The sequence below is a fragment of the Homo sapiens genome, chromosome 8 (genome assembly GCF_000001405.40).
Source record: "Homo sapiens chromosome 8, GRCh38.p14 Primary Assembly".
NCBI lineage: Eukaryota > Metazoa > Chordata > Mammalia > Primates > Hominidae > Homo > Homo sapiens.
In genome coordinates, this window is record NC_000008.11 from 74,344,259 (window position 1) to 74,370,288 (window position 26,030).

At 37.8% G+C, this 26,030-nt stretch overlaps 1 protein-coding gene across 8 annotated transcripts in view, besides 1 other annotated feature; it reads left to right on the plus strand.

Annotated features, from left to right (window-relative positions):
* The window catches only part of GDAP1 (ganglioside induced differentiation associated protein 1), a 138,470-nt gene continuing 118,584 nt past the window's right edge, over positions 6,145-26,030 (plus strand). Inside the window, exons 1-6 of one of the 8 annotated variants that reach the window (NM_018972.4) lie at positions 6,145-6,320; positions 7,016-7,208; positions 15,879-16,052; positions 17,626-17,720; positions 18,681-18,795; positions 19,727-22,618. In NM_018972.4, coding sequence (NP_061845.2) covers positions 6,204-6,320; positions 7,016-7,208; positions 15,879-16,052; positions 17,626-17,720; positions 18,681-18,795; positions 19,727-20,109 — 1,077 coding nt within the window. In that variant the 5' untranslated portion in view covers positions 6,145-6,203 and the 3' untranslated portion in view covers positions 20,110-22,618. Of the gene's footprint in view, positions 6,321-7,013; positions 7,209-15,878; positions 16,053-17,625; positions 17,721-18,005; positions 18,562-18,680; positions 18,796-19,726; positions 22,619-26,030 lie in introns of those variants that run through there. The other 7 variants (NM_001362929.2, NM_001040875.4, NM_001362931.2 and 4 more) reach the window with 7 other exon arrangements.
* Positions 6,158-6,387: an enhancer, noted in NCBI's record as "active region_27542". NCBI's record gives its function as "activates an Ori minimal core promoter by ATAC-STARR-seq in GM12878 lymphoblastoid cells {active_cell/tissue: GM12878}" and the evidence as "EXISTENCE:reporter gene assay evidence [ECO:0000049][PMID:35858748]".

Genomic DNA, 26,030 nt, shown 5'->3' on the forward strand with positions numbered 1-26,030 from the left:
GTGTATCCCAATTAAAAATCTTATGTAATTCACATGGATCAGATTACTGGCATGCATCAAGGCTGAGCAGACAAAGTAGTTTCTGGGTGTTTATTAATAGTATTAACATTGCTACTGTCAGGAGAAAGTGGAGACAATTCTATTTTTTTTCTGCAGGTATAAAAGATCTTTTTTAAATGGCTGAGCATAGTGGCTCACGCCTGTAATCCTAGCACTTTGGGAGGCGGAGGCGGGTGGATCACGAGATCAGGAGTTCGAGACTAGCCTGGCCAACATGGTAAACCCCGTCTGTACTAAAAATACAAAAATTAGCCGGACCAAGTGGGACGCACCTGTAATCTCAGCTACTCAGGAGGCTGAGGCAGGAGAATTGCTTGAACCCAGGAGGCGGAGGTTGCTGTGAGCCAAGATCATGCCATTGCACTCTAGCTCTGGGCGACAGAGCAAGACTCTGTCTCAGAAAAACAACAACAACAACAACAAAAACAGATCTTTTTTAATTTTGGAAAATTTGGTATTGAACTAGCTTAATTAGGTAAATATATTCTCTGGAGAATATCACCATTTCTATTTTCTAACTTATCAAGAAAGAAAAATAGCAGGGGATTGGTTATTCTTAAAAGCCTAGAGACCTCTTGTGGCCATTCATAAAAGTACCGGAAAAAAACAGAAATCCAGAGTATTCTAATTTGTCAGGTTTCTCTAGCTTAGTTGTCATTCTTTTTTTTTTTTTTTTTAAATATAGGAATTACCTAATACCTGTCAAAATATATACGATAAGTCAGTAATAGGATTTTTACATAACAGTAACTTATATAAATGTATACGCACCTCAGCCGTAACAGTACTATAGGATAAAGTAAAACTTTATTGAAGCATAAAGCAAAAACATACAAGAAATTGCACAAAACATAAGTGTCCAGCTTGAGAAATTTTCCTAAATTGGATATATCTGTGTAGCCAGCATATCTGGTAGATTTTTTATCATAATTTTATAGGTAAGATGACTCAGGCTCAGAAGTTATATGATTCATTGTTTCATAACATCAATCAAATTCATGTGAACTTCATTCACTCAGAAATAGGCAAAATGAAGAAAGAACTTGAAATAAATATTAACATAAAAGTCAGTTTACAGAGCCATGATCTACAGTCTGGATTTATCAATAGGAAAATTTATCAAATGAAATTACTTTTACATATAGAATTTCTAGAGCAGCAGACTATTAGGCCACAATTTATTATTATTTTATTTGTTATTTGTTGTCGGTAGTGGTTACCTGCTATTTTCCTCCATTAATTAATAAGCAGTTTGGGTTCATCTTTTATGTACCAAGCACTGTTCTGGGTTCCTCCTGACACTAAAATGAATAATATTGGATCTTTGCCCTTCAGAGGCTCAGAATCTGATGCACCAGAAAGACATATAGACAGTAGTTTAATAATACAGCATTTTGACAAGGACTTTAATGGAACAGTATCCATCTGCATGGACTCATTTTCAATAAGGTGGCTGTATTTTTCTCCAAAGTCCACCTCAGGCTGGTTAAAGTTTGCAAGTCCACAACTTTCTCTCTTTGGTTTAAGGCTAGCATAGTGTAGTAGAAGCTAATACTTGACTAGTAATCAGAAAATGTGTGTCTGAGATGTAGTTCTGTCACCGGCTCCAGGATTTTGGACTAGTATTTCACTTACTAAACCTCATTTCTTTAGCTATAACTGTAGTGGAAGCTCTTCTAATTTAGGGATGGTAGCTACCTCACAGGCTATCATGAAGATCAAATGAGATTGTAAGAAAGCCATTTGCGATCTTTAGATGCAGACGTTCTACTTTATACCTTTTCTTTATAAAGTATTAATATTGAACATCAGTGCAGTCATCAGTTCATCAGTGTTTACTAGTTCATGGTTTTGCTGCTGGGAATATGTGCTAGAGAAAGTGCTCAGTGTTTGATAGTGGGCAGATTGACCTGTGCATATCCATGTTCTTCCTAAGGATAGTGAAGAGAATGAAAAAATAATAAGCATAGTGGGTGTCTCGGAAATGGAGAAGGAAGCAAAAGCTGATTAGGAAAGTAAAAGGTACCGAAAGCAAATTAGTATGCAAATTTACTCATTCACAAATTTACCCAGGGTTCTCTTTCTCCTCATCAAAACAATTTATTAAATACTAAATAAGATAGATACATTCAATGGTATAGTAGTAAATATTTAACAACCAACTTTCTGGGAAAAAGTTAAACATGATAGCATTTACCGATTTCTGTAAATAGTTCTACCATGGCCAATTTCAAGTCACTAACATGACATCACTGAACAGAGAGGAAGAGATATGCAAGTAGCACATCCTTATATACTGTTTGCCTTGTATGGATATGATAGACACAAATAAACTCAGGAGTATAGATAATAATACACATAATTAGGAAGTGATGAGTTTTAAGTATTTGCTAGTTTTATTTTTAAAATTATTTATCTATTTATTTATTTTTGAGATGGAGTCTGTCGCCCAGGCTGGAGTGCAGTGGCGTGATCTTGGCTTACTGTAAGCTGCGCCTCCCGGGTTCACACCACTCTCCTGCCTCAGCCTCCCGAGTAGCTGGGACTACAGGCACTCGCCACCACGCCTGGCTAATTTTTTAGTAGAGACAGGGTTTCACCGTGTTAGCCAGGATGGTCTTGATCTCCTGACCTCGTGATCCGCCCACCTCAGCCTCCTGAAGTGCTGGGATTACAGGCATGAGCCACCGTGCCCGGCGGAAATAATTCATTTAAATGCAACTCAGTTTGATTTAATTTTGATTAATAGCTGAGTTGAACATCCACTTTGCAAATTCCTGAAAATTTAACAATCAGCTATCATGAGCCAGTGGGGGCACCACCCTGGATATAATGGTAATTGTGTTAGTATGGTACTAGTTATGGTAAAGATTATCACCTCTTCTGGGAAGCCTATCTGTGTTAGGTGCCTTTCTCTATATTCCTACTATAACTTTCTAGATGTCACAGCAAGTACCACACTGTGTTGGGATCTCATTTCTCTGCCTTCACACTTGATTTCCCTAAGGCCAGTGACTGTGACTGACTTTGAACTCTGTATCTTCTCTATCTAGCACTTAAGGCTCAAAAAATGTATATTGAAAACAAATTTACCTGGACCTGGCTCCTGTCCTCAAGGAGCCCACAATGATCATGTCTATGATCTACAAAAACCATAGACACAGAATACACAGTGTAGTAGGAGCTCTGAATAAACATGTGAAAGGATAATAAGGTTTTTATATTACCAACAGTGGCTTTTATTGGGATGGGAAAAAAGTGATTATAGATCATTGGAAGTAGATGTAGCAGTTCTATTGTGATAAAACAAACACATTTTTCCTTATGTCATCTATTTAATGATATTCTTTTAGTGTTCACACCTTTAACAGGTAAAAGCAACACACATTCATTATAAAACAATTAGAGTATACAGAATCATAAAGAAATAAAAGCCACCTATATTTTACAAGATTGATGTATTGATGAGGATAGGTTAAGACAATAGCATCCAGAAAGCACCAAATAACAGTGCCTTACACAAGATCCTTTTTTTCCTTTTCAAGTAAAAGTTTGGAGGTTTGCAGACCCAAGTTGGTGTGGGTTCTGCTCCTCAGTGTCTTTAGAAGCTCAATTTTCCCCAAGTTCATGGCCCAGCTGTTCCTAAGGCGTGGCCCCATTCTTCATGGTCCAGGTCAGAATCCATCCTCTCTGAAGCAGGATGGAGGATGGGATGAAGAAGAGGCACAGGGCTAATTGTCTCTTTAAGAAAGATTCCCAGCACTTGCCCTGTGGCACATCCATGACTTTCCCCTTGTTAGAAGATAGTTAGGAGACCATGTTTTGCTGCAATAGAGCCTAGGAAATACAGTCTTTATTCTCAGCAGTCATGTGCTCAGCTAAAATTTCTATTACCACGGAAGAAGGGAAAAATAGGTAGGATCAACTGTCAGAATTTGTCAGAATTATTTCCTTAAATTGCAAATAGAGGAATTTCTAGGTTAGAAGTTATGCCCATTTTCACGATTCTTGAAGCATATTGATACATTTGCCTTCAGAAGTTCTGTGCATGTTTACACTCCCAATGAGATCTATGAATGCTTTGTACTAAACACCAAGTAATCAAGTCATTCAGTGTTTCTTCTATGGCTTTGCTGTGGGCAGGATGTGATGGAGAAAAGTGTTGTGTTTGAGGGACCAGGGCTTTATTGTCAGGACTTTTTCAGCTGCAGGTGACACATGGCTTATCACGAGTACTGGAATTTATTCAAATATTTAGGATGATTTAGTATTAAGGTTGGTGCAAAAGTAAGCGTGGTGTTTGCTATTGAAGGTAATGGAATAGAAAACTAGGAATCTGAAGGTGGATAATTAAAAAATGAAGTTCTGAAGAGGAATGGGAGAGGAGGATTATATGGGTAGTTGTAAAAATTTTGAGACCTACAGAGAGAGGATGAAATGTAATATAATGCCCTCCTAATGTCAGTGAAGGGGCTTTTACACATATGTTTTTATCAATGGCTACATTCCAGGCAATACCCTAGGTGCTTTATATATATCCTTTCTTGAATTCCCACAGCCATCTGGGTAGGCATATAATTTTTATGTATCCATTTTTTACACACAATGAAGTCAAAGCTCAAGAAAGCTCAAGTTAGGGTAGAGCTAGAATTTAAACCCCACTCTGTCCGATTTCAAAGTTTTCCTCTTTCCGCTCTTACTCTTAAGTGTGAACTGATAAAAACAATTTTGGCAAGGAATTCACCTTTTCTATAGCACTTGAATTAACTGAAGGATATAAAAGACATTATGAAATCTTAAAAAATTATGAAAGAATTACAGAGAGTAACAAATGAAGTACTGTAAAGGCAAGGAAGAACCTCATGAGATTTTGTCTTTTCCAGGGGCCCTTCTCTGACCTGGGTTGGCTGCCTGCCCCTCCTTTCTCATAGTACTCTGTGTTCACCCTAAGACAGTTCTCATCTTTATTGTGATTGTCTATTTCCTTGGTCGTCTCTACTGCCAGATTATATCTTGAGTGTTAGATATTAGATTTCACACATCTTTATATTACCAGGAGCCAGCACAATGTCTGGAACAGTGTAGGTGCTCAATAAATATTTGCCAGATAAATTATACAGGCATTTATTCTATGGTCATATTTATACATATTACTGAAAGAGATTTTTAAAATCAACTTACTATATGATGCCAAATTTTTAAAGACATACAATAATAACTAGACTAATATAAAATTATGATTCTGACTATGGTTATAACAGAATGTTTATAAGACAACTGAACCTGTGACTAAGACTGAGTGCCTACAACGTGACAGGGTGTTCTGAGTGTTTAACATTTTATTATTAATTTTTCACAAAAATCTTATGAGGGAAACAATAAAATTATTATTCTTACTTAGAAAATGGAAAAACCAGGATATGAACTTAGGCAGTACTGTTGTAGAATTTTTGTGTTTAACAACTAGGCTATTTTATATCGCCATTGTTTATTAGCTGTTTATGACAAAAACAGTTTTTTTGCATGACTCCATAGTGGTATTTTTTTTTCTTTTACAAAGCACAGTTTAATTATCAAAATCAAGTACTTACTGTTTATACAAGACTATTCTCTAATCTACAGCAGTTAGTCAAATTTGTGGAATTAGTCCACTAATGTCATAGTAGCATCTTCTAATGAAAGCTCATAGATCCTTTTCCTGTTGCTTTGCTTGTCGACCGGAACTTCCTTTCCAACAAAGGAACAGGCTCCAAGAGCAACCCTCAGTATCTTGGGAAATTGCTGCTTTTATACCTGAGCAACCTCCAAACCGAAGAGTAATTTGCTATCATCATTCTTCCTTACTGCCCTTCATAACCAGGGTCTCATATTTTTTATTTTTTCTTCTAAAAAAAAAAACAAACCCAAAAAACAACCGTTCAATTGCACCTCCCAGGTGCACTCCCAGGCTTGCCAGGGGCTTTCCAGTCGCAGACCCCGCGTGTTCGCAGACTCTGCCGCCGGCGAAACTACATTTCCCAGCGGGCCGCGCGCCCTCCTTCCGGCAGGTACCCCTCAAAACCCGGAAACGCCTTGCGGGGCAGTGTGGGAGGGAGAAGTCCAGGGCGGACAGGCTGGGCGCACCCGTGCTCGCGCACCCCAAGATGGCTGAGAGGCAGGAAGAGCAGAGAGGGAGCCCGCCCTTGAGGGCGGAAGGCAAGGCCGACGCGGAGGTTAAGCTCATTCTGTACCATTGGACGCATTCCTTCAGCTCTCAAAAGGTACAACAGGCCTTGGCGGCGGAGGGTGGCGCGGATCGGGCTTCAGCACTGGGACAGCTCCTTCTGAGTCCCGCCCAGGGAAGCCGGTCCACCTAGAAATCCGCCTCCAGTGTCCTGACCCCGGGCAGGCGCTCCCTCCAGGCGGGGACGCGCCCGGGTGGGGAGCGGGGAGAATCGATCGGAGATGATCCTATGTGGCTATGGCCCAGGCTCCGCCTCTCGCGAAATGCGACAAAAAAGCATCATTTTCAGTATTTGGTCTGGAGGCCTTGCCTGCTGGTCTTCGGAGAGAGGCAGAGGGAGGTGCCTTTGTGGACCCTCATAATCTGCGATCTCTTCTTTTGCTCTCTCGCATTCACTGTCTTCAGCAAGAGCTGATGTACCTACATGTCAGGTTCTTGTCTGGGGAGGACCCATAATCAGGTTTAGGACACCGAGAAAGTGGTAGTGATGAGGAGGGTGACTGTTTAATGAATACAGTCAGAATCATTTCATTACTTATTTTGTGTTCTTCTCTTAATTTGTTGAGTATTGTTCTTTCCTTACTTGTTAATTCCAGGAATAGGAATTGTTAAAACGACTGTTGAAAATGTCGGTAACACAGGGAAGCCCAGAAAGGCTGCTTAGCGGTGTCCAGGGAAGTCATTTAATTGAAAGCTTACATGTGTTGTAGTAACCAGTGTGAACTCTTCCAGGTGCGCTTGGTAATTGCTGAAAAGGCATTGAAGTGCGAGGAACATGATGTAAGTCTGCCCTTGAGTGAGCACAATGAGCCTTGGTTTATGCGTTTGAACTCAACTGGAGAAGTGCCTGTCCTTATCCACGGGGAAAACATAATTTGTGAGGCCACTCAGATCATTGATTATCTTGAACAGACTTTCCTGGATGGTAATGTTAAGGCTACTTGCGATTTCTTGGATTTACTTTCAACACAACTATGTGTTCCCTTTCTCTTTTTCTCTCTCTCCTCTCTCTCTTTCTCTTGTGTCATGATGGTGGTTTGGGATTAAAAACCTTTTCCATTTCCATAAGCACACAAATATCAAATAGGTCAATAACAAATTTTGTATAGGCTAGTGTAATGCTATTTAAAATAATTTAATGCAAAATACAAATGTTAATGTTGAAACTTAAAAAAATTCACTTGCAAAAAACTGCAAATGTGTGGTTTGTGTTGGTGATTTCTTAGTCTTAAATTCATAATATTCTAAATGTGCACTGTGACGATTTCATCTAATATACCAAATGGTTTCACCTTAAAAACAAGAGGGAAAAAAGAGCAATAAATCTTAAAGGAGAATAGAATGTTAGTATACCTGAGTTCTTTGCCCCAGTCACTTCTGAATTGTTTGAATTTTATATCTTTACTAAGGAATTATAGGGCTTAAATTTGTATAGTGCATTTAGGTAAATCATTTATTAACAGCTTGTTATGTGTCAGACATTTTATAATTTCTTCAATAATGTCTTCAAAAGTATCTGTCTGAGACAGGCATGGTAGACAAGTTATTCCCATTATGTAAATGAGGAGAAAGCAACAGGGTTGCCCAAAGTAATATAGCTATTGTATGGCAGAGTCTTTGGTCTCCAAAGCCTTCATACTACACTGACTGTCTCCCATAATCCTTGCCACTTACACATTGTCTTGCTTGTTCCTAATAATAATCCTTTGAAGTGAACTGTAGCTTCAAAGAGTTACCAAAGACTACACAGCTGATCACAATGGACATTGATGAGAGCAGAACATGGTGCTCAGAGCTTCCAGCTGAATGCTCTTCTAAAAAGGCTGTATGAGATTGTTACTTTTCATCTGCCACCAGTTATGTTGATGTTAATAGGGTAGGTGAAAGCAGAACCTAGCCCCAAACTACAGGAAGCTGACAAAGGAAATTACTAGGACAAAAAAAAGTCTCATGTACTTAGAAGGAAAATGAGTATTATTAGGCCTAGATGGTGGGCAGTGGCGAGGGGGAAGCCCAGGGAATTAGATTAGCAATGGGCTACCCCTGTTCTTAATCTAAGTGCTAGTCCCCTAGGATTGTGATTGGCGGTTTTAATTAAAGGTAGCTTTAGCGTAAACCAAAGCATTTAATGATGTACTTTCTTTTCATCTTTATTTGCTATTCCTTATAAATTTATATGCTGGGGACTGTACTGAAAATGACAACTAGTTCATTTAAGAGAATTTTTCTCAATCTTGAGCTTTTTGGAAATGGATAAGTGTGTTAATTTGTATTTCTTGGGGGATGTAATTATAATGGAACAAAACAAAATAATTGTGTTAATAAATCTATTTTAAATGATCAAAAACTTTAAAAAGGTATTCTAAATGGAAAATCCCATTTAAGTTTTTTGGTAGCATTGCCTGAACTGCTTCTACTATCATCATTCCCCTCCTCCATCCCCTCCTTACACTGTTTTTCCTCTAAGAAATTCAGTGATATAAATTATATTTACAACATAGTAATGTTACCAATTATTAGGTTTTCTTACAATTTTCCTTAGTCTTTCTCTTTTGCTTTTAGTACAGAATAGTAACAAAGCAGAAATAAGTTCTGTGTCCTGCTAAGTTGTATTTAAATAACCAAACAAAGGAAATGCTAAGTTCTTTTGATTACTTAAGAATTAGAAGAGAAGGCACTGTAGGCTGTGACAGGATGGAAATATGGAAAGTGCAGACTTTAATTCTGGTTGAACTATTATTGTAACTCAGCAATCAAGAGTCCTAGCTTTTAGTCTGATGCTGCCACTAACTTGTTGAATATCTTTCAATCAATTGGGAAGGACGAAAAAACGATTAAGGGACCCAAAACTTATGGTAGATAGGACGACAGCAAGAGAACAATAGTTTATATAAATCAAGGCTAAGTTATATAAATCGAGGTCAAGAAGAAGTTTATCTCAGAGTACTGAAATTTTAAAAACAGCGTTATCACAATTATAATTAAGATGCTTTATCTTTAAGAACTCATGGAGAATGAAAGTCAGACAAGATAGACAAACATCCTATTGTCAAAGACGGGGAAAAGTGAATTCTACCAACCCTTGCTACTAATTGTATGTTCCATTCATCAGCAGCATTGGTGTCACCTGGGAGCTTGTTAGAACTGCAGAACCTTAGAGCTCTCTGCAGACCTATCAAATTAGAATCTTTGTTTTAACAAGAGCCCCATGTGATTCGTATGTACATTAAAGTTTGAGAATACTGCTATAAATTAGTGTTTAGTTAAGTAAGCACTGGTGTAAATTACTGTCTTTAAATCTGGTGGAAATTTAGAATAGATTGTGAATAGTTATTTAAATATGTTAAAATTTTTGTGTATCTCAGTGAAAGGAACCAATTTAAGTTTTACACTGCTGGAGAATGTCCCTAACACTTCTAAAAAACTGTCTATTATGTGCCAGGCATGGTTCTAGATATAGTATATCTTGATTTAAGTAGAACATTTGCGATTACGTTACATATACCCTTGTGGAATAAAGGAGCAAATATAGCTAGAAGATTGTAACGCACATTTGCAGATGAATAAACTACCATATTAAAGAATATTACTTTATAGATTTCTCATACCAGATTACCTCTTCAACTATAGACTCTCATTTTACTTATAATTGTTTTTATACTTTATTTTAAATGTTTGAATTGTACACCACTGTAAGTACCATGAGGTTGGGAATAGTGTATCTTATGAAAAATTATCCCCAATGCCTTATACAGTGAATGTTTCTTAATAGGTGCTTAATAAATATTTTGAATGATTAAAATGAATAAATTATTGAAACAGATGTTAGCCTGTACAGGGATCCCTTGTAATGTTCTTGTAGGCTTCTTTTTTGACTTGAGCCTAACAAATCAATGATTTGAATAGACATGGAAGAAATACGATTACATTTGTGAATGACAGAAAAGGTAAATAGTCAAAGTGATGACTAGCTTATAAAATATTTCTTATGGAAATACAACAAAATGGAAAAATAAGATAAAGTTTAACAAGGCTAAATGTAAAATGGCTATGAGGAAAATAGGCATGAGACTTTTGTTTTAAAAAACCAGCTGCATTCCAAAAGAATGGGGAACCTGGTTAATAGATAGTAAGTTACCAATGTTAAAACAAATGGCTAGTGTGATTTCAGGTTCTTTGAAAACTGTAAATTTTGTTGAGAACAGGGTGAGTTGTAACCCTCTGCATTCTGAGCTGTTTGGAATAGTTGACATTTTGTCCAATTATGGATGTAACTTTGAGGAATGTTGATGAGATAGAATAAGTGGATGGATTTCATGAGGTGTGCAGTCGCCCATGGTCATGACAGGAGACTGTAAGTGTAGCCATTCCTCTAAAGAACAGAATGTAGTGAACCAGTATGTCCTTCACTGTTATTTGCTGTCCCTTGTTATCGATCCAGTGGGGATTATGCGAAAAACGATGACTTGCTGATCTAGAAACATTTTTCAACTTTTTTGTTTACATTTACATATTTCTATCCTTGTACTTTCGGGATAGTTCATTAAATAATTGGTAGTTTGGTAGCTGAGGTCACCCTTTTCAAGTCATAGCCTGAAATAGTGAATATCTGTTGGATAATGGCTGTATTTGATTTTTTTTTGGAAAGCAGTCATACAGAAGAATGGTATAGACATGAATGATGCTCCTGACTGCCAAACTAAGAGCTGGCCGAGAGCTATCTCTTCATTTATTCTTTAAGTAACCATTTATTGGGTATTAATTTGGTATAGGGTCCTGGGATACTTCAGAGATGTTTTAAAGATCCGAAATCATTAGCAGCTTGCTAGTCTTCAAAGATAATTTCTTTCTATAAGTTTGCTGATAATTCCAAATCTGTCCTTAACATATATACTTGCTATTACTGTACAGTTTTATAGACTCTTTCATGTACATGATACCTCTTTAACTCTGAGCATGTGGTGAGGAATAGTTATTTTACAGCAAGCAATTGATTAAGCTAGATAAGGTATGAGAGTAAGCAAACTAGGTAAACTGAGAAAGAATGGATGTGACAAGGTGAATGTACACACAAATGTGGATTTTTCAATCTATCTATTGTACTCATAACCTCTTTAAATAAAATTTAACTTGGCTACTAATCAAAATTATATGGAATAACTATAAAATACTAGAACATATGTATTACTACCAAATAACTCTGGTAACCTGGAATCAAGAATAATGGATTTTTGTGATTTAATGTAACAGTTCTCTGAACATCACGTTCATGTCTTATGTCTAGATATATAATTTATTCTTAGGAAATAGAATTTAGTTTGGAAATAAACTATTCTAGTATGATATTAAAATCACGTAAATCTTATTAGGATATCTAAATTTATAGATACAATGTTATTTATAAAATACATTTAAATGTTACATTTGAATTTCATCAAATGTAACATTTAAAAAAGAACGTTAATTCTGATGTCACTGTTATATTAAAAATAGTTATTTAAGGAATTACCAATTAATATTTATATTTGTGTTCATCAAGAAAAGGCTCTTGTATATAGTTGAATATAGGCCTTTTAGCACATATACTGAAATTGCAGATTAGCACAAAATGTGGAGAAAATATACCATATGGCATGGAAAAGAATATCAGTCTTTGATTATTGTGTCAGTAAAAGTTGCTTTAAAAAGTAACTTTTCTTCTCTTTGTGATTTGTCCAGTTTTAGCAGACAGGTTGGGGGTATTAAAATTCAGAGGCCCTCTTTCTATATAATATGTATCTAACAATTGGAACAAACTGTCTGATAAAGGAATTTTTGCTTCCATCATTAAAAATGTTTCTGTTAAAAGTCTTAACTGTAATACCAGTTAAAAGTAGTTAAACATTTAATGTATAGTGCATAAAATTTATTGACAATAATGCTATAAATTTGTCTCAAAATCCTGGATGCATACAGTGAACTGATATAATTTGACACCGGGTCTTTTTGTTTTTTTTCTTATCTGTATTTAGATTTGCTCTTTCTAGTTCAAGAGTTATGACAGCACTGAATTGTAATCAATCAGTTTGCTACCATATCTTTTGCCTCAGGTCATAACTTAATTGTTTAATATTATTTAGTGTGTGTGTGTGTGTGTGTGTGTGTGTGTGTTTGTGTGTGTGTATATATATATATATTTTTTTTTTTTTTTTTGAGACGGAGTCTCGCTCTGTCACCAGGCTGGAGTGCAGTGGCGCAATCTCGGCTCCCTGCAACCTCCACCTCCTGGGTTCAAGCGATTCCCCTGCCTCAGCCTCCCGAGTAGCTGGGACTATAGGCGCGCACCACCACGCCCGGCTAATTTTTTGTATTTTAGTAGAGACGGGGTTTCACCATGTTGGCCGGGATGGTCTCTCGATCTCCTGACCTCGTGATCTGCCTGCCTTGGCCTCCCAAAGTGCTGGGATTACAGGCATGAGCCACCGTGCCCAGCCTATTATTGAATTTTTTAAAAATAGCCTAGTGTGTGACTAGTTGAAGGGTACAATATTATTCAGCTGTATTATGCATATTATATACTGATGCAATCACTATACAGTCTAAGTAAAATAAACAGCAAAGGGCTAGAGTGAGGAATGAAATCTAATCTGTTTCCATTGAGCTAGTAGTAAGGGAGACTTGAAAGTTGTACAAGTAGACCTAGGGGAGTCTTTCTTGAAAACAAGGCATAATAATGCCTCCTTTATCTGCCTTTACTAGGAAAGATGGGTAACCAGAGTAGTGAATTTTGTAAAATAATGAAAACTTATGCCTTTAAGCCCCTAATTTCTTTTTATGTTTTACTCTTGGGAAAACCAAATGTAATTTAAAAAAATGGCTCAGAGCCATTGTTATTTTACTCAGCATTACAGGGACTTGAGAATGTAGAGGCCCATTTGTCTCCATTACATGGCTGCAGAATGCTTTTATTGTTTCTTTCTGATTTTATTTTTTGCTTCTTTTGGTTTCCTCTGCTGTTTATCAAATCTTTCTGCTTTATGTCTATCTGCTGGTTTATAATTTGCTGCCTAAATTTATGTGTAATATAAAACTTTTCCCCTACTCAGTTCTTCCGGCAAGTCGGATCTTGTGCCAACTTATTTGTTCTTCTAGCTTAATACCAAGCCTCATTTCCACTGTTGCAATCCCACTCCCCAATGCTGGGACCTCCTCTCATTGCCTGCTTCTTAAAACTCCCTAATTCTCTGTCCTGCCCCGCTATGCCTTATGTTGCTTTCCCACTCCTGATTGAGGTACATTACTGAGAAAAAAATTCTTGCTTTTGGTATTTTGATAAAGGTACTCTACGGAAGAACTGGAAAATAAAATAGGATGGGATTGAGAGGGAAGATCTCCTCTATAATTCAAAGGAAATTCCCAGTTTTCCTTTGAAAAACTCTTTTATCAGAAGCAGCAGATACTGTTGTGCTTCAGTGTGAGGATGGCAGCGCAGTGCCCCTGTGATACTGGAGAGGGCATGCTTGATGCGCACAAAGAAAGAGAGATGGGGAGATAACTTGGGTTCAGTGGGTATCTCATGCTCTGACAGAGTGCTTCAGGAAATGGTTAGACAGTAACGGCACACTGAGTAGAAGAAAATTATTTTCATGGATTTAAACATTTGTCCTCCTTGAAGAATTTGGGCTTGGCCTGATGGATCTTCCCCAGAAAGCAATTAGACATTGTTTTTCCTGCTCTCATTCACTTTCCTAGGAAGGAAATGGTATGCTCTTCTGGAGAGAAGCCCCAGGGCCCAGTACCAGAAAGCAGCCAGAGCCACTAGCCATTACTTGGACCTTTTGGGAAGCATTTGAAAATGTACTATTTAGGGTTATTAGCCTGAGGTTCTTGGACCCCTAAAGCATTAGTTCTTAAACTTTTTGGTCTCTATACCCCTTTGTCTTTGAGGATACCAGAGAGCATTTGTTTATGTGGATCATAGCTATCAATATTTACCATTTAGAAAGCAAAACTGAGAAAACTTAAAATATTAGCCTGGTTAAGCACAATCCCACTAGCTGTCAGAGTGATAGAGTCATGTTTCCTGTAGCCTCTGGAAACTTCTACTGTACACTTGAGAGAGAATAAGAGTGAAAAAGTAATTAACGTCTTAGTATTTCTATAAAAATATCTTTGTAGATCCCCCAAACATGTTTTAGGAAAACCCAGGGATCCTCAGACCATAGTGTGAGAACTGTTGCGCTTAGGGGTTTATGAATAGAATTCAGGAGATTTGAGATCTTGGATAGGGAATAATTGTATCTCTATTTAAAGGAATTATTTCCTTCCATTAGCAATGTAGGCACAATCCATGGCAATATCAGGAGTGCTTCTGGCTTTGATAACCAATAGAACTCACAGATATGTTCATGGTTAAGTTATTGCAGATATCTTAATATTTTGAAATTGTGATAGTTATTAGACCTGACATTTTTTAGGGACAGTTTGACAGCCAGAGATAGGAAGAGATTCTGAAGGGACATAGCCCTGACCTTTGGGTTGCATCCTTCACTTTTATTCTTTTTCGATAGTCTATGAAATGAAAATCCTTTGAAAATGTTATGATGGTATAATCAAAGAGAACATTACATTAGGAATCAGATGACTTTAGTTCTAGCTCTGCCTCTAATTAGCTGTGGGATCTTGGGAGAAATTTTCAGCCCTTGTATCTGAGTGTACATGTTAACTCCTGCAGCACTTCTCCAGCTCAAGTAATCTATATAATAATTGGAAATTTTGGAATGTATTCATTGTAATTTATTAAACACCTACTACATGTCAAACATTATACTAGGCACTGGGGATTTAACAGAGAGCAGTACATGGTCCCTGCCCTCAAGGACTCTACAGTTTGGATTTTAACTAGCAAATAAGGATGTATGTAGAACCCACTTTCCAGAGATAATTGTTAGAAATTCCTGGGGAAAGTGCACCTGCGATATTTGAGCAAAGGCCTTTCCTGTTCCATATAGATTGTCATTCACATTCACATGTGTCAGTAGGGTCACTCTTGATGTTGGTTGGCACCTAGAAAAGAGTAGCCCCTGATTATCTTTCCATAATGAGCCCTCATTCAATTAACCAAACTTTATTGAGGGCCTCAAGTGTGTGGAGAACTGTGCTAGACTCTGGATTGCAGGTTCCTTTCCCTGAAGACAGTCATGGGGAAAAAAGATGCAATGAATTACAGTGTGATAAGGGCTGTAACAGAGTGTGTGTAATGTGTTATGGATGTATAGAAGAAGGCACATGTGAGCCAGTCAGATGTTGGCAGTTGTAGGAGGTTAGGGAATGCTTCATGGAATAAATGGCATAAATAACTGGGCCTTGAGGGCTGAGTGCAGTTTGCAAGGTGAAGAAATGAGAGAATACCAATGTGATTATGGTTTGGGATCTTGTCTGGTGCATCAGGCCATTTCAAACTTTGAATGAATGTCTGAGGTGAGGAGACAGTGTTTTTTGAATATACAGATATGTTGAAAATGTTAATGATGAGTGGATAGTGTTTTTGTTTTGCTTTTGAGTGTAACAACTCATGTGTAACTTTTTCTTCAATATTTGTGTGTGTGTATTTTAGAAAGAACACCCAGGTTAATGCCTGATAAAGAAAGCATGTATTACCCACGGGTACAACATTACCGAGAGCTGCTTGACTCCTTGCCAATGGATGCCTATACACATGGCTGCATTTTACATCCTGAGTTAACTGTGGACTCCATGATCCCGGCTTATGCAACTACAAGGATTCGTAGTATGTAAACATTTTAAAGACCTGGAATTCTGTCTGACACTTTCTTTTAATTCATTTTGAGACCTAGCATGTCTCATGGTCACTAAAAGAAGATTGGGAATAGGGTTGTTGAGTTTGCTTCATGGATGTGCATGTTATGGATCGATCCATGAACCAGTCGGATTAATCTGTGCTTCACTTGCTCAATTGGACATTTATTGTCTATAGGACCTGATTTATCAGCTCTTGGCTTTGAGGGCCAATCTTGGGTAAAACTCAGAAGAGTGGATTATGGAAGAGTAAAGAATATAACATGTTCTCATGAACAGATGGACTAGGAATCTGAAAACCTGGGATCTGCCTAGGATTATGGGCAGTTGAGTTCATGTTACTGGTCCTTAATTGTTGTTTTCGTTATTTGAGGAAACTGGACTAGAGGGTGTCTAACTATTACTCTGTCTCTATGTTCAGTGATAGTAGATTTATTGGGATTGAGTTGTGACATCCAGCTTTCTGCCTTCCTCCTGTCATGAGAATAGTCAGTGCATGATCTGTGGAGCAGGAGGTGTGCTTTATAGCAGAGATAATTGGAGATAAGAAGGGAAAGGATTGTGGCAGTGGTCACACTTTGGGAATGTTGATCAGAAACACTCAAACTCAGATCTTCTAAATCCAGAAACCATGTGTTCCCCATTATGTGATACTCACCTTTATTATTCTTATTATTCTTTTTTTCCTTTTTGATACCCCTCCTTTTCCTCTCCTCTCCCTTCCCTTTTCATCTCTTCCCTTTTCTCCCTTCTCTTCCTTTTTCTCCACTGCCCTCTCTTCCTGCTTCTCTTTCCTCTTATTCCTCCTCCTCTTCATAAATACCCTTTATAGTATTTGAAACAAGAGTTTTGACTATAATTCTATGACCTATAGTTAATATTTTTTAAAAATAAGGCTTTTTCCTCCCTTCATATAGGAGTTCATTATAGAAAGCTTGAAAGGTAGAGGAAGGCGGAGCAGCAAGCCTGCACTGAGCACTGTAAAGTGCTGGGCCTTGCTCTAAGTGCTTCCCATGAAGCTTCTCATTTAGTCTTCATGGCAGATATTCTTTGTTTTTTTCTTTTCTTTTTTTTTTTGGATGGAGTCTCGCTCTGTTTCCATGCTGGCGTGCAGTGGCATCATCTCGGCTCACTGCAACCTCTGCTTCCTGAGTTCAAGTGATTCTCCTGCCTCAGCCTCCCGAGTAGCTGGGATGACAGGCATGCGCCACCACGCCCAGACAATTTTTGTATTTTTAGTAGAGACGGGGTTTCACCACGTTGGCCAAGATGGTCTCGATCTCTTGACCTCCTGATCCTCCCGCCTCGGCCTCCCAAAGTGCTGGGATTACAGGTGTGAGCCACCGCGCCCAGCCGGCAGATACTCTTATGGTTCCATTTGAAAGGTGAGGAAACTGAGGCATAGACAGGGTAAGCCCAAGGCAGAGAAGCAGGGCATGAGCCCCAGAGCTCATGCTCTTGTCATTGAGTTTCTCTGCTTCTCCTTGTTACTGGTGTAGAAGGGAGAAAATAATTTTCTGTTTCCAAAATGTTTTTATTATCAGGCCAAATTGGAAACACAGAGTCTGAGCTGAAGAAACTTGCTGAAGAAAACCCAGATTTACAAGAAGCATACATTGCAAAACAGAAACGACTTAAAGTAAGCCAATCAGCTGTCCTCAGTTGACATACACTGCACGGAGTAAATGTTCTACTTTTTGTAAAGTACCACTATTTCTAGAATATCTTCTTTTAAATATTGCAGTTCACCAGTACACATGTTACCTTTGGCTTATGTTCTCCTTTTAGAAAGAATTTTTTATTAGACTTGATATTGAAACTTGATGACAAGTGCTTAACAAGCAGATATTGAGCATGCTGGTTGCCAAAAAAGTTATGAAATGCAAAGGAAGTTCATAACATATTCTAGAATCTGTCATTTCAGGTATTCCACCACTGGAAGTCCTCGCTAGACCTACATCCCTCCATGTGTCGCCCTGACTTGCTTTGCCCCCTGAGGAGTGTGCTTTATGGTCAGCCTTTCTCCTTCTGTTGATTCCTTCCCCGGGCCCAGCAACTATTGCAAGCTTCTCTCATATTAAAAGTGTAGAAAACAGCAGCACTCCCAACCCTCCCCAACTTCCCACCTTCCTTTATCCTATCGTAGCTAAACGAGCTCCTCAGAAGAAACACCTGCACTCACAGTCACTTGACTGACTCTCCACTCGCCGTTTAACTCCTTCACTCGGACTTCTTACTCATCCCTGACCCTTCAGCTACTCTTTCAATTACGGCTGCTAGAATTCTTTTCCTGAGTTGGGCTTGGCAGATGGCTCTTCGTGTCCCTCCCATTCTTTGCCTTCTGTGGTCATCTGGCCTCATAGGAGCTGCCAGTGAGTGGTGGGTCTGCTCCTGGGTCATTTTCACAGCTGGGATATTTCCCTTCAACTTAGCTCTCTCTCTCTCTTTTTTTTTTTTTTTTTTTTGCTGAGTTTTTCTATTTCTTCTCGTTGTCTAAAATAGGCTGAACTCTGTAAGAGTTTGTATCTGCTTTACCTAGATTTATTTTTTTTAAAGGTGCAAATAATATGTTTGGTTTCTTTTTTTGGTGGTTAATTAGTCAAAGCTGCTTGATCATGACAATGTCAAGTATTTGAAGAAAATTCTTGATGAGTTGGAGAAAGTCTTGGATCAGGTTGAAACTGAATTGCAAAGAAGAAATGAAGAAACCCCAGGTAGGTTCTCATTTATATTCTTTCTCTCTTTTCAACATCAGTATTATTCATGGGAACATTCTTAGGTCTCACCAAAAACGTTCTGTAATCTGCTTTTCATTGTTGTTATTCACAGGCAGTTTTAATTATGATAGCAATAATGATATTGCACCCAGAAAAACCCAGGTGTCTAATTGTAACTCAATCTGCATCTACGTGAAGGATTTTTCTGCATAATTTAAATTATGCTTGGGAGATTTTTACCTGTTTTACAAATTTGTAATTACAGTAGTTAGTTTGGTTGAATAACTTGAGTAATTGCTTGAATATTCCCTCTAGTTTTTTCCTTAGGCAGGGAGACAGCCTCCAATCTAAAGTGTAATAAGGACCAGCACGTGGGCATCTGTAGACTGGCTGGTAAGCATGCCAGTGAACTGGCTTCAGGGTTAAGCCATAGGTGTATACACATGGGCCATTTATGCTACTCCGACTAGAGTTGAAGACTATGTTACCTGTCACAAAAGCTCTTCTGCTTTAAATGACTAAGAGCAGTAGCCACTGAGTGATGTTTCAGACTCAGCTTTATGGATTTTTCTAAAGCAGAACTGTTTTTATAAACCAGAAGGAAGTTTCTTTTAACTAGCTTGGAGGCTCCCAACCCCTTAGTGTCCTTTACAAAGTGATAAGCTCAAGTGGCTGCAATCTTACATAGGGACCTGGATGGCTGACAGACGTCAAGCAAGTCTCCTTTGGCCTAGGATACGTTTGCATGGACTTTTTTTTTAAAGCATGAAATTATTCTCTGAGTGTGGCTGTCAAGAAAATAAATATATAATGTCCTTCATCTTTTGCTATACTCACACTCACCCTTAAGGGTGAGACCACTGATACCAGCTGGAGTCTGTCTGTAGAGTGCTTGCCTCTAATTCTCTATGTCCCTTTCTCTAATTAGAAGAGGGCCAGCAACCTTGGCTCTGCGGTGAATCCTTCACCCTGGCAGACGTCTCACTCGCTGTCACATTGCATCGACTGAAGTTCCTGGGGTTTGCAAGGAGAAACTGGGGAAACGGAAAGCGACCAAACTTGGAAACCTATTACGAGCGTGTCTTGAAGAGAAAAACATTTAACAAGGTTTTAGGACATGTCAACAATATATTAATCTCTGCAGTGCTGCCAACAGCATTCCGGGTGGCCAAGAAAAGGGCCCCAAAAGTTCTTGGCACGACCCTTGTGGTTGGTTTGCTTGCAGGAGTGGGATATTTTGCTTTTATGCTTTTCAGAAAGAGGCTTGGCAGCATGATATTAGCATTTAGACCCAGACCAAATTATTTCTAGGTTTGTTGGGATCTTGTCGTGGCAGCTCATCCAAGCATTTAGCTAGACCCTGTGATTGCCCGTGGCTCTCTGAGTCTGTCTTATTGAGTAGTTAGCAGTATTTTTTCCTAAAATTCAGAAGTCATCTTTGTTACACAACACAGGGGTTCAGGTAGCAATAGGACACAAAATTGCTTTATTCTACAACTGCCAGCTCCAGGCAGAAATAGGAAGGCAAAGAGATAAGAGAAGGAAAAATGAGAGAATGAAGTCTGTATAGGGTAGAGCAATAGAAAGTAAGCTTCGGGTGCCTCCAACGTTCATGGCTGCCTGTCTCATTGGTAAACCTCACATTTAGTTACTTGTGGCTACTGCCCACACATACACTTCTGTAATTGAGAACTCTTAGGAGAGGACTAGGGAATCACTGGGGATAGTGGGCTGGAGAGAACCCCAGGCTTTATATGTATACTTTGACCTCAGTGTTAATTTTAAATGCTTATGAATCACACACATTGCTTTAGTAAGATTAAGTGCTTATATACTAGAAATTTGATGCTCATTGGAACACATCTGCCTAGCATTTCTGTAAAAGTCTTAAGTGATATTAAGATGATTCCTTACCATTTCAGATGGTCCGCAATTTGAATTACCAAGTGGTAATGGTTCCTTACTGTTTTAGATGGTGCCTGTGAGATACCATTCCTCTGGATGGTCATGTCCAGTCAGTGGGAGGTAGAAAGGGTGGCATCTGTAGCCCTCTTCATACACATAAGTGGCATTTAGGTGAATGTCCCAGCTAATCACTAGCATGTCTAGGTATTGGCTGGGTAGTGGGTATTTTGATGATCTGGGAGCACCAAATATGTTCATTCTTCGTTTGGGGAGGCTGGTCTGTAAACACAAAAATTGTTGTCCAGATCTTTCATCTGTTTATGATCATCAACAAAGACTTGTTAGAAAGGTCTAGTCTTAGCACTTGGCAGTTAATCTAGGGAAGATGAATTAAATGGGTAGATAGTGATGCATACCTGTATTCACTGATGTATGTTTAAGGGATTTGGGGGGGATACCTCAGTTCATGTGGAAGGGACAGTCTCGGTGTGTCCCATGAATAACCTTGGAACTGCAACAAATGGTTTGTGCTCAGAAAAAGTCTTTCATGGTGACAGGAAGACAGTTTCCCTGGAGCTGGCCATGAAGGCCTTAGAAGCCATTTCTGGTGTCTGGTGGGTAGCAGGCATAGAGATGATGTGCCGAGGTCCCAGTGAACAACAGTAGCCAAAGAATGTACTAACTTTATCATTAATAGGAAAGTCATACCTAGGAAACAATGACTTTTTGATGGCAAAATGATTTTTTAATTCTATTTTGATGCTGTAATTCCATTTCATGACCTAGTTGTATTAGAAAACCTTGATGAACTATATGTTCCCGATTTACAAAAAAATTAATAAAACCTCCAGAGTAAACTCAGTCAAACAATAATTGAGTAGCAGCTTTTATAACATTTAAAATTTGCACATGAGTGTGTTGTCATATGGAGTGTCTGAATCTGTTGCTGGGACATACCAATCCATGTATTCATTAGAGCCATAGAAGTTATTATTCATTAGTTCATAGTGTTTGAGTTCTTTATGTCACTCTGTTAGAAACAAGAACTGAGTCGTGAAGAAATAAGAATTGGATTTTTATAAAAACCTCTGAAGGATATTTACCTATGAAAAAGTTGTTAAGAATAAAAATTAGAAGTCCATGGTTAACTTTTCCTTCAATTTATATTATTCCTGAATCATAGGGAATCTTTCTAGAATGTGTTTATAATTTCCTTGTACAGTTTCTTTGGAAATACGTTAAAGATAGTGGCAATTTCATATATTTCATGGATACTTGAGTTTGTGCTTTTAAGGTGTTTGTTTAGGGATACAATGACCACTAGATGTCGCTGTTTATCCAGTAGACTAAGATTGAGTGTTCTTTTTGTTCAGCAACTCTTCTAAAATGTTTCAAGCAAAGATAGTAATGACCTCAGTTTCTGAAATAAGGGCATCTTCATCAGATTATTCTTCTGTTTTAAAAAAAAGCTTGAGGCAAATGTGAGTGATTTCCAGTGCTTTGAAAGGGATTACAGTATCACACAATGTCAAGCTAGAGTTAAACACAGTATTAGCTAAATAGGCACTTATGTGTATTTTCTTTTTCATGATTATCGGTGACTGGTCAGTGTACTCATCAATTTCCAAAATTTGTATAAATATCACAATTAGAAAAATGCCTGAGGTACTAAAGTTATGTTGGCTTTTTGTGTCTTAACACACATAAATACTATTGTTATTGCAGCAGATGCCTTTTGAATCCATTTTCCATAATTGCGGATAGTCATAAATTGCTTGCTCAATTTTTAGTAATTATTGCTGTTGACACCAGCGTTGTAGATTTTTGGTGTTGTTGAATGCAGTAGAGAGACCAAGACACTATTCTGTAAGATCAATAAAAGTAATTGGAAAATAAATATGAACCCTAAAACAAAGTACTCACTTTGTAATCTTTTTTGGAAAACAGATATATTTTTTTCATTTAAAATCAAAGCATCATGTGGTAGTTAAAAGGGTAAAATAAGCAGAGGTTAGGTATTCAAGATACTTAGCTATAGGATGCCATATTTTCGTTATAACAAAATTGCTGACTCTTGCTTCATTTAAATATGCACGGTTAAAATGAATAGCGGCCTAAAGAATAACACTGATCTCTCAAAAAAAAAAAAAAAGAATAACATTGATGCTGCTCATTAATATAGCTCTGTTGCAGCCAGCCACCTACCATGGGAGAGCATGAAAATGATGAACACTGAGTACTTATCTTTGCAAAATAGTTTTCTTACATGTTTACTGGGTTTCAAGTATTACTCATATTTATGTATATTTTTGACATAGCTAATTCTCTTTTATTGAGTATGGATTATTCATATTGAAATTACCTTCTACATTTCTAGCTTAGTAAGCTTAGCCATTCTAATCAAGTAGAAATTGAGTACTTTCATTTTGCACTGAACAAAGCAAATTAAATGCAAGTCTAATTGGCATTGTTTTCCTTGAATTTACAAACAAGAACAAAGGGCAACAATACTGAATACTTATGGAAAGTCACCTGAATATCTAACTTCGTAGTCTGCTCAGAAAAAAAAAACAGTATGGTAAAGACATGAAGGTGAAATTAATGCAATAAATAAATCAGTATTCAGATATAACCATCATATTGTTTATGCCAACTATTGGCCCATTTACTTGATCTCTGCTTACCCATATCAGAATGTCTTGATTTTATAATACTCCAGAACAGTTGTTTTACTAGGTAGGGTAGTAGATTCCAAACAAAGTGAGGAAGTGTAATTTCTAGTGTGAGGATAGTAGTTTTAATTATGTATTACATTATGAAAATGAAGAGAAGGAGTGAAAGAACTCAGTTTATGGATTAGACAGTGGATGGATGACAGCAGTATCCTTTATTGCTTGCACCTAAGTTGGGGCCTGACTGTGTTAGGAGGGAGGAGAGATTGGCATTGGTGAGAAGGCAGTGGGGTAGAGCAGCTCTGTAGCACTTGAGACAAAACATGCCTGTGGTGGGCCTTGATATACTCTTTGATTCAAGTAGGGTGGTGTATCTATTTCATTCACATTACCTTGTCATAAAACTCCTTTGGGAAAGTTAACAAGTTTTTGTCTTCAGTCTTTTACTTTATTACTTATGCATTGATTCCTTAATTACAAAGTGCTGTCATTGAAATCCCTTAGTAGGAGAGCCAATAGTATAGCTTAGTGAAACATAATGAAAGGGTCAAGTTTCCATGCCAAAAACAGTATTCATATCCATATATGTAAATTAATTTTTAACAAAGTAAAATTTCAGGCGTATGACCAGCATGTATAAGTACAGCTTTTGGTATCTTCAGATTAAACTACCTTTTGAATTTAAGAATCTAATACTCAACAAAATTACTTGCAAACATTGCCAAATACATGTCATAAAAATATAATGAAGACAGGTTTTCAGAGAGCCTACATTTATTAAGTTCAGTGCTCAAAAGAAAATGAAGGTTTGCATTACAAAAATGATATGAACTATAAATAATTAGCACTAAAAGCAGAAGTGGTTACATTGTAAAAATTCTTATTGCTCTGCTCATTCCCTTGCAACATGATGTTACAAACTTTCCCATCAAGAAATAGCATCTGCAGAGCAAGACTACATGAGTCCTATCAGAGGGCAATTTACTAGAGATATTGGACATCAAGCAGTGCTGAAAATCACTGGAGGTTCCTTTCAGGTAGAGGAGGGCCTCATTAACACTTTGTTAATCCCCTAGTCAGGAGTAAGGACCATGGCCTGGAGTAAGGCTTACCAGCATTTTTCAATCTTGGCCCTATTGATATTGTAAACCAGATAATTCTTTGTTGTGTGGAGCTATCCTGTGTGTTGTAGGATGTTTACCAGCTTCCTTGGCCTCTACCTCCTAAATGCCTGTAGTGCTCCCCACCCCAATTGTGACAAATCAAAATGTCTTTGGATATTGCCAAATGTCACCAGGGGAGAAAAATCATCTCCATTTGAAGACCACTGCTCTGCACCCATCCTAAAAAAGCCTGAAACCAAGTCATGACAAGATCTGCAAGGGAGACGTATTCTGGAGGTTGATTTCTGCCAAGTCAGAGGTGCTTGGGAAACATCTTGGGCTTCTATGTGCCCTCCATAACAAAGCACAGGACAAAACGTACACAGTTTAAAGGTGACTAGCCAGTAACTGCACTGCCTACTAGAACAAGAATCAACATGCTTCAGAGAGAATATAACAAAATCCAGAGTCTCCATAAGGTATCACTAACAATGTCCAGGACACAGTAGAAAATTACTAGACAAGCAAAGTTATAGGACTGTTGTTGAAAAAAAGTAATAAATAGATATGACCTAAATGTTGGATTTAGCAAATACTTTAAAGCAGCTAACAGGCAATATATGTTTATAGAATTAAAAGAAAATGTCTGATTGAATTGACAGAAAATCATGGGAGAGAAATTAAAACCATTAAAAGAAACCAAATGGAAATTTTAGAAAATTACATAAGTGAAAAATTCATTGGATGGGCTTCACAGCAGATGGAAGATGGCAAAAGGAAGATAAAGAAACACAGCCTCAGGAACATGTGGAAAATATCAACTGGTCTAATATGTGTGTTACGGGAGTTCTAAAAAGAGAACAAAGAATGGGGCAGGAAATTGTGTGTGTGTGTGTGTGCATATATATATATATATTTAAATAATGCCATATTTTCCCAAATTTGATGAAAAAACATTTACTTACTCGTCCAAGAAAATCACTGAACTCAGTGAAAGATAAATACCAAGAAAGCCTCACGTAGGCATATCATTGTCAGACCGCTGAAAACAAAAAAATCTTGAAAGCAGTTAGAAGGGGAAAAAAAAGATATACACAAGAGAATGATGATAAGAATGTGTGCTGACTTACCAGAAATAGTGGAATGCAGACAACAATGAAAATGTCTTTAAAGTGCTGATGGGGTGGGAAGGGGTGGTGAGGGAATCCTGCCAATTCAAAATTTTATATCCAGAGAAAATACCCCTTAAAAACTTGGGTTTTAAAGACACTTTATTTCATATAAATTGAAGCCAAGAGAAGTTGGATCCAGCAGGCCCCTGCAAAACCAAAAACTGCTAAAGGCCATTTTCAGACTGATGGAGAATGATACAAAATGGAAACCAAATCCACAGAGAGGGGAAAGAAAAGTAGTGCCAGGAATGGCAAATAATGGGTACATATAAAGACTTTCATTGCCTCATAATTTCCTTAAAAGGTTACTGTTTAGAACAAGAATAATAGCATTATTATGTAAAATGTAAATTTCTGGGCTCTATAATATATGTGGAAGT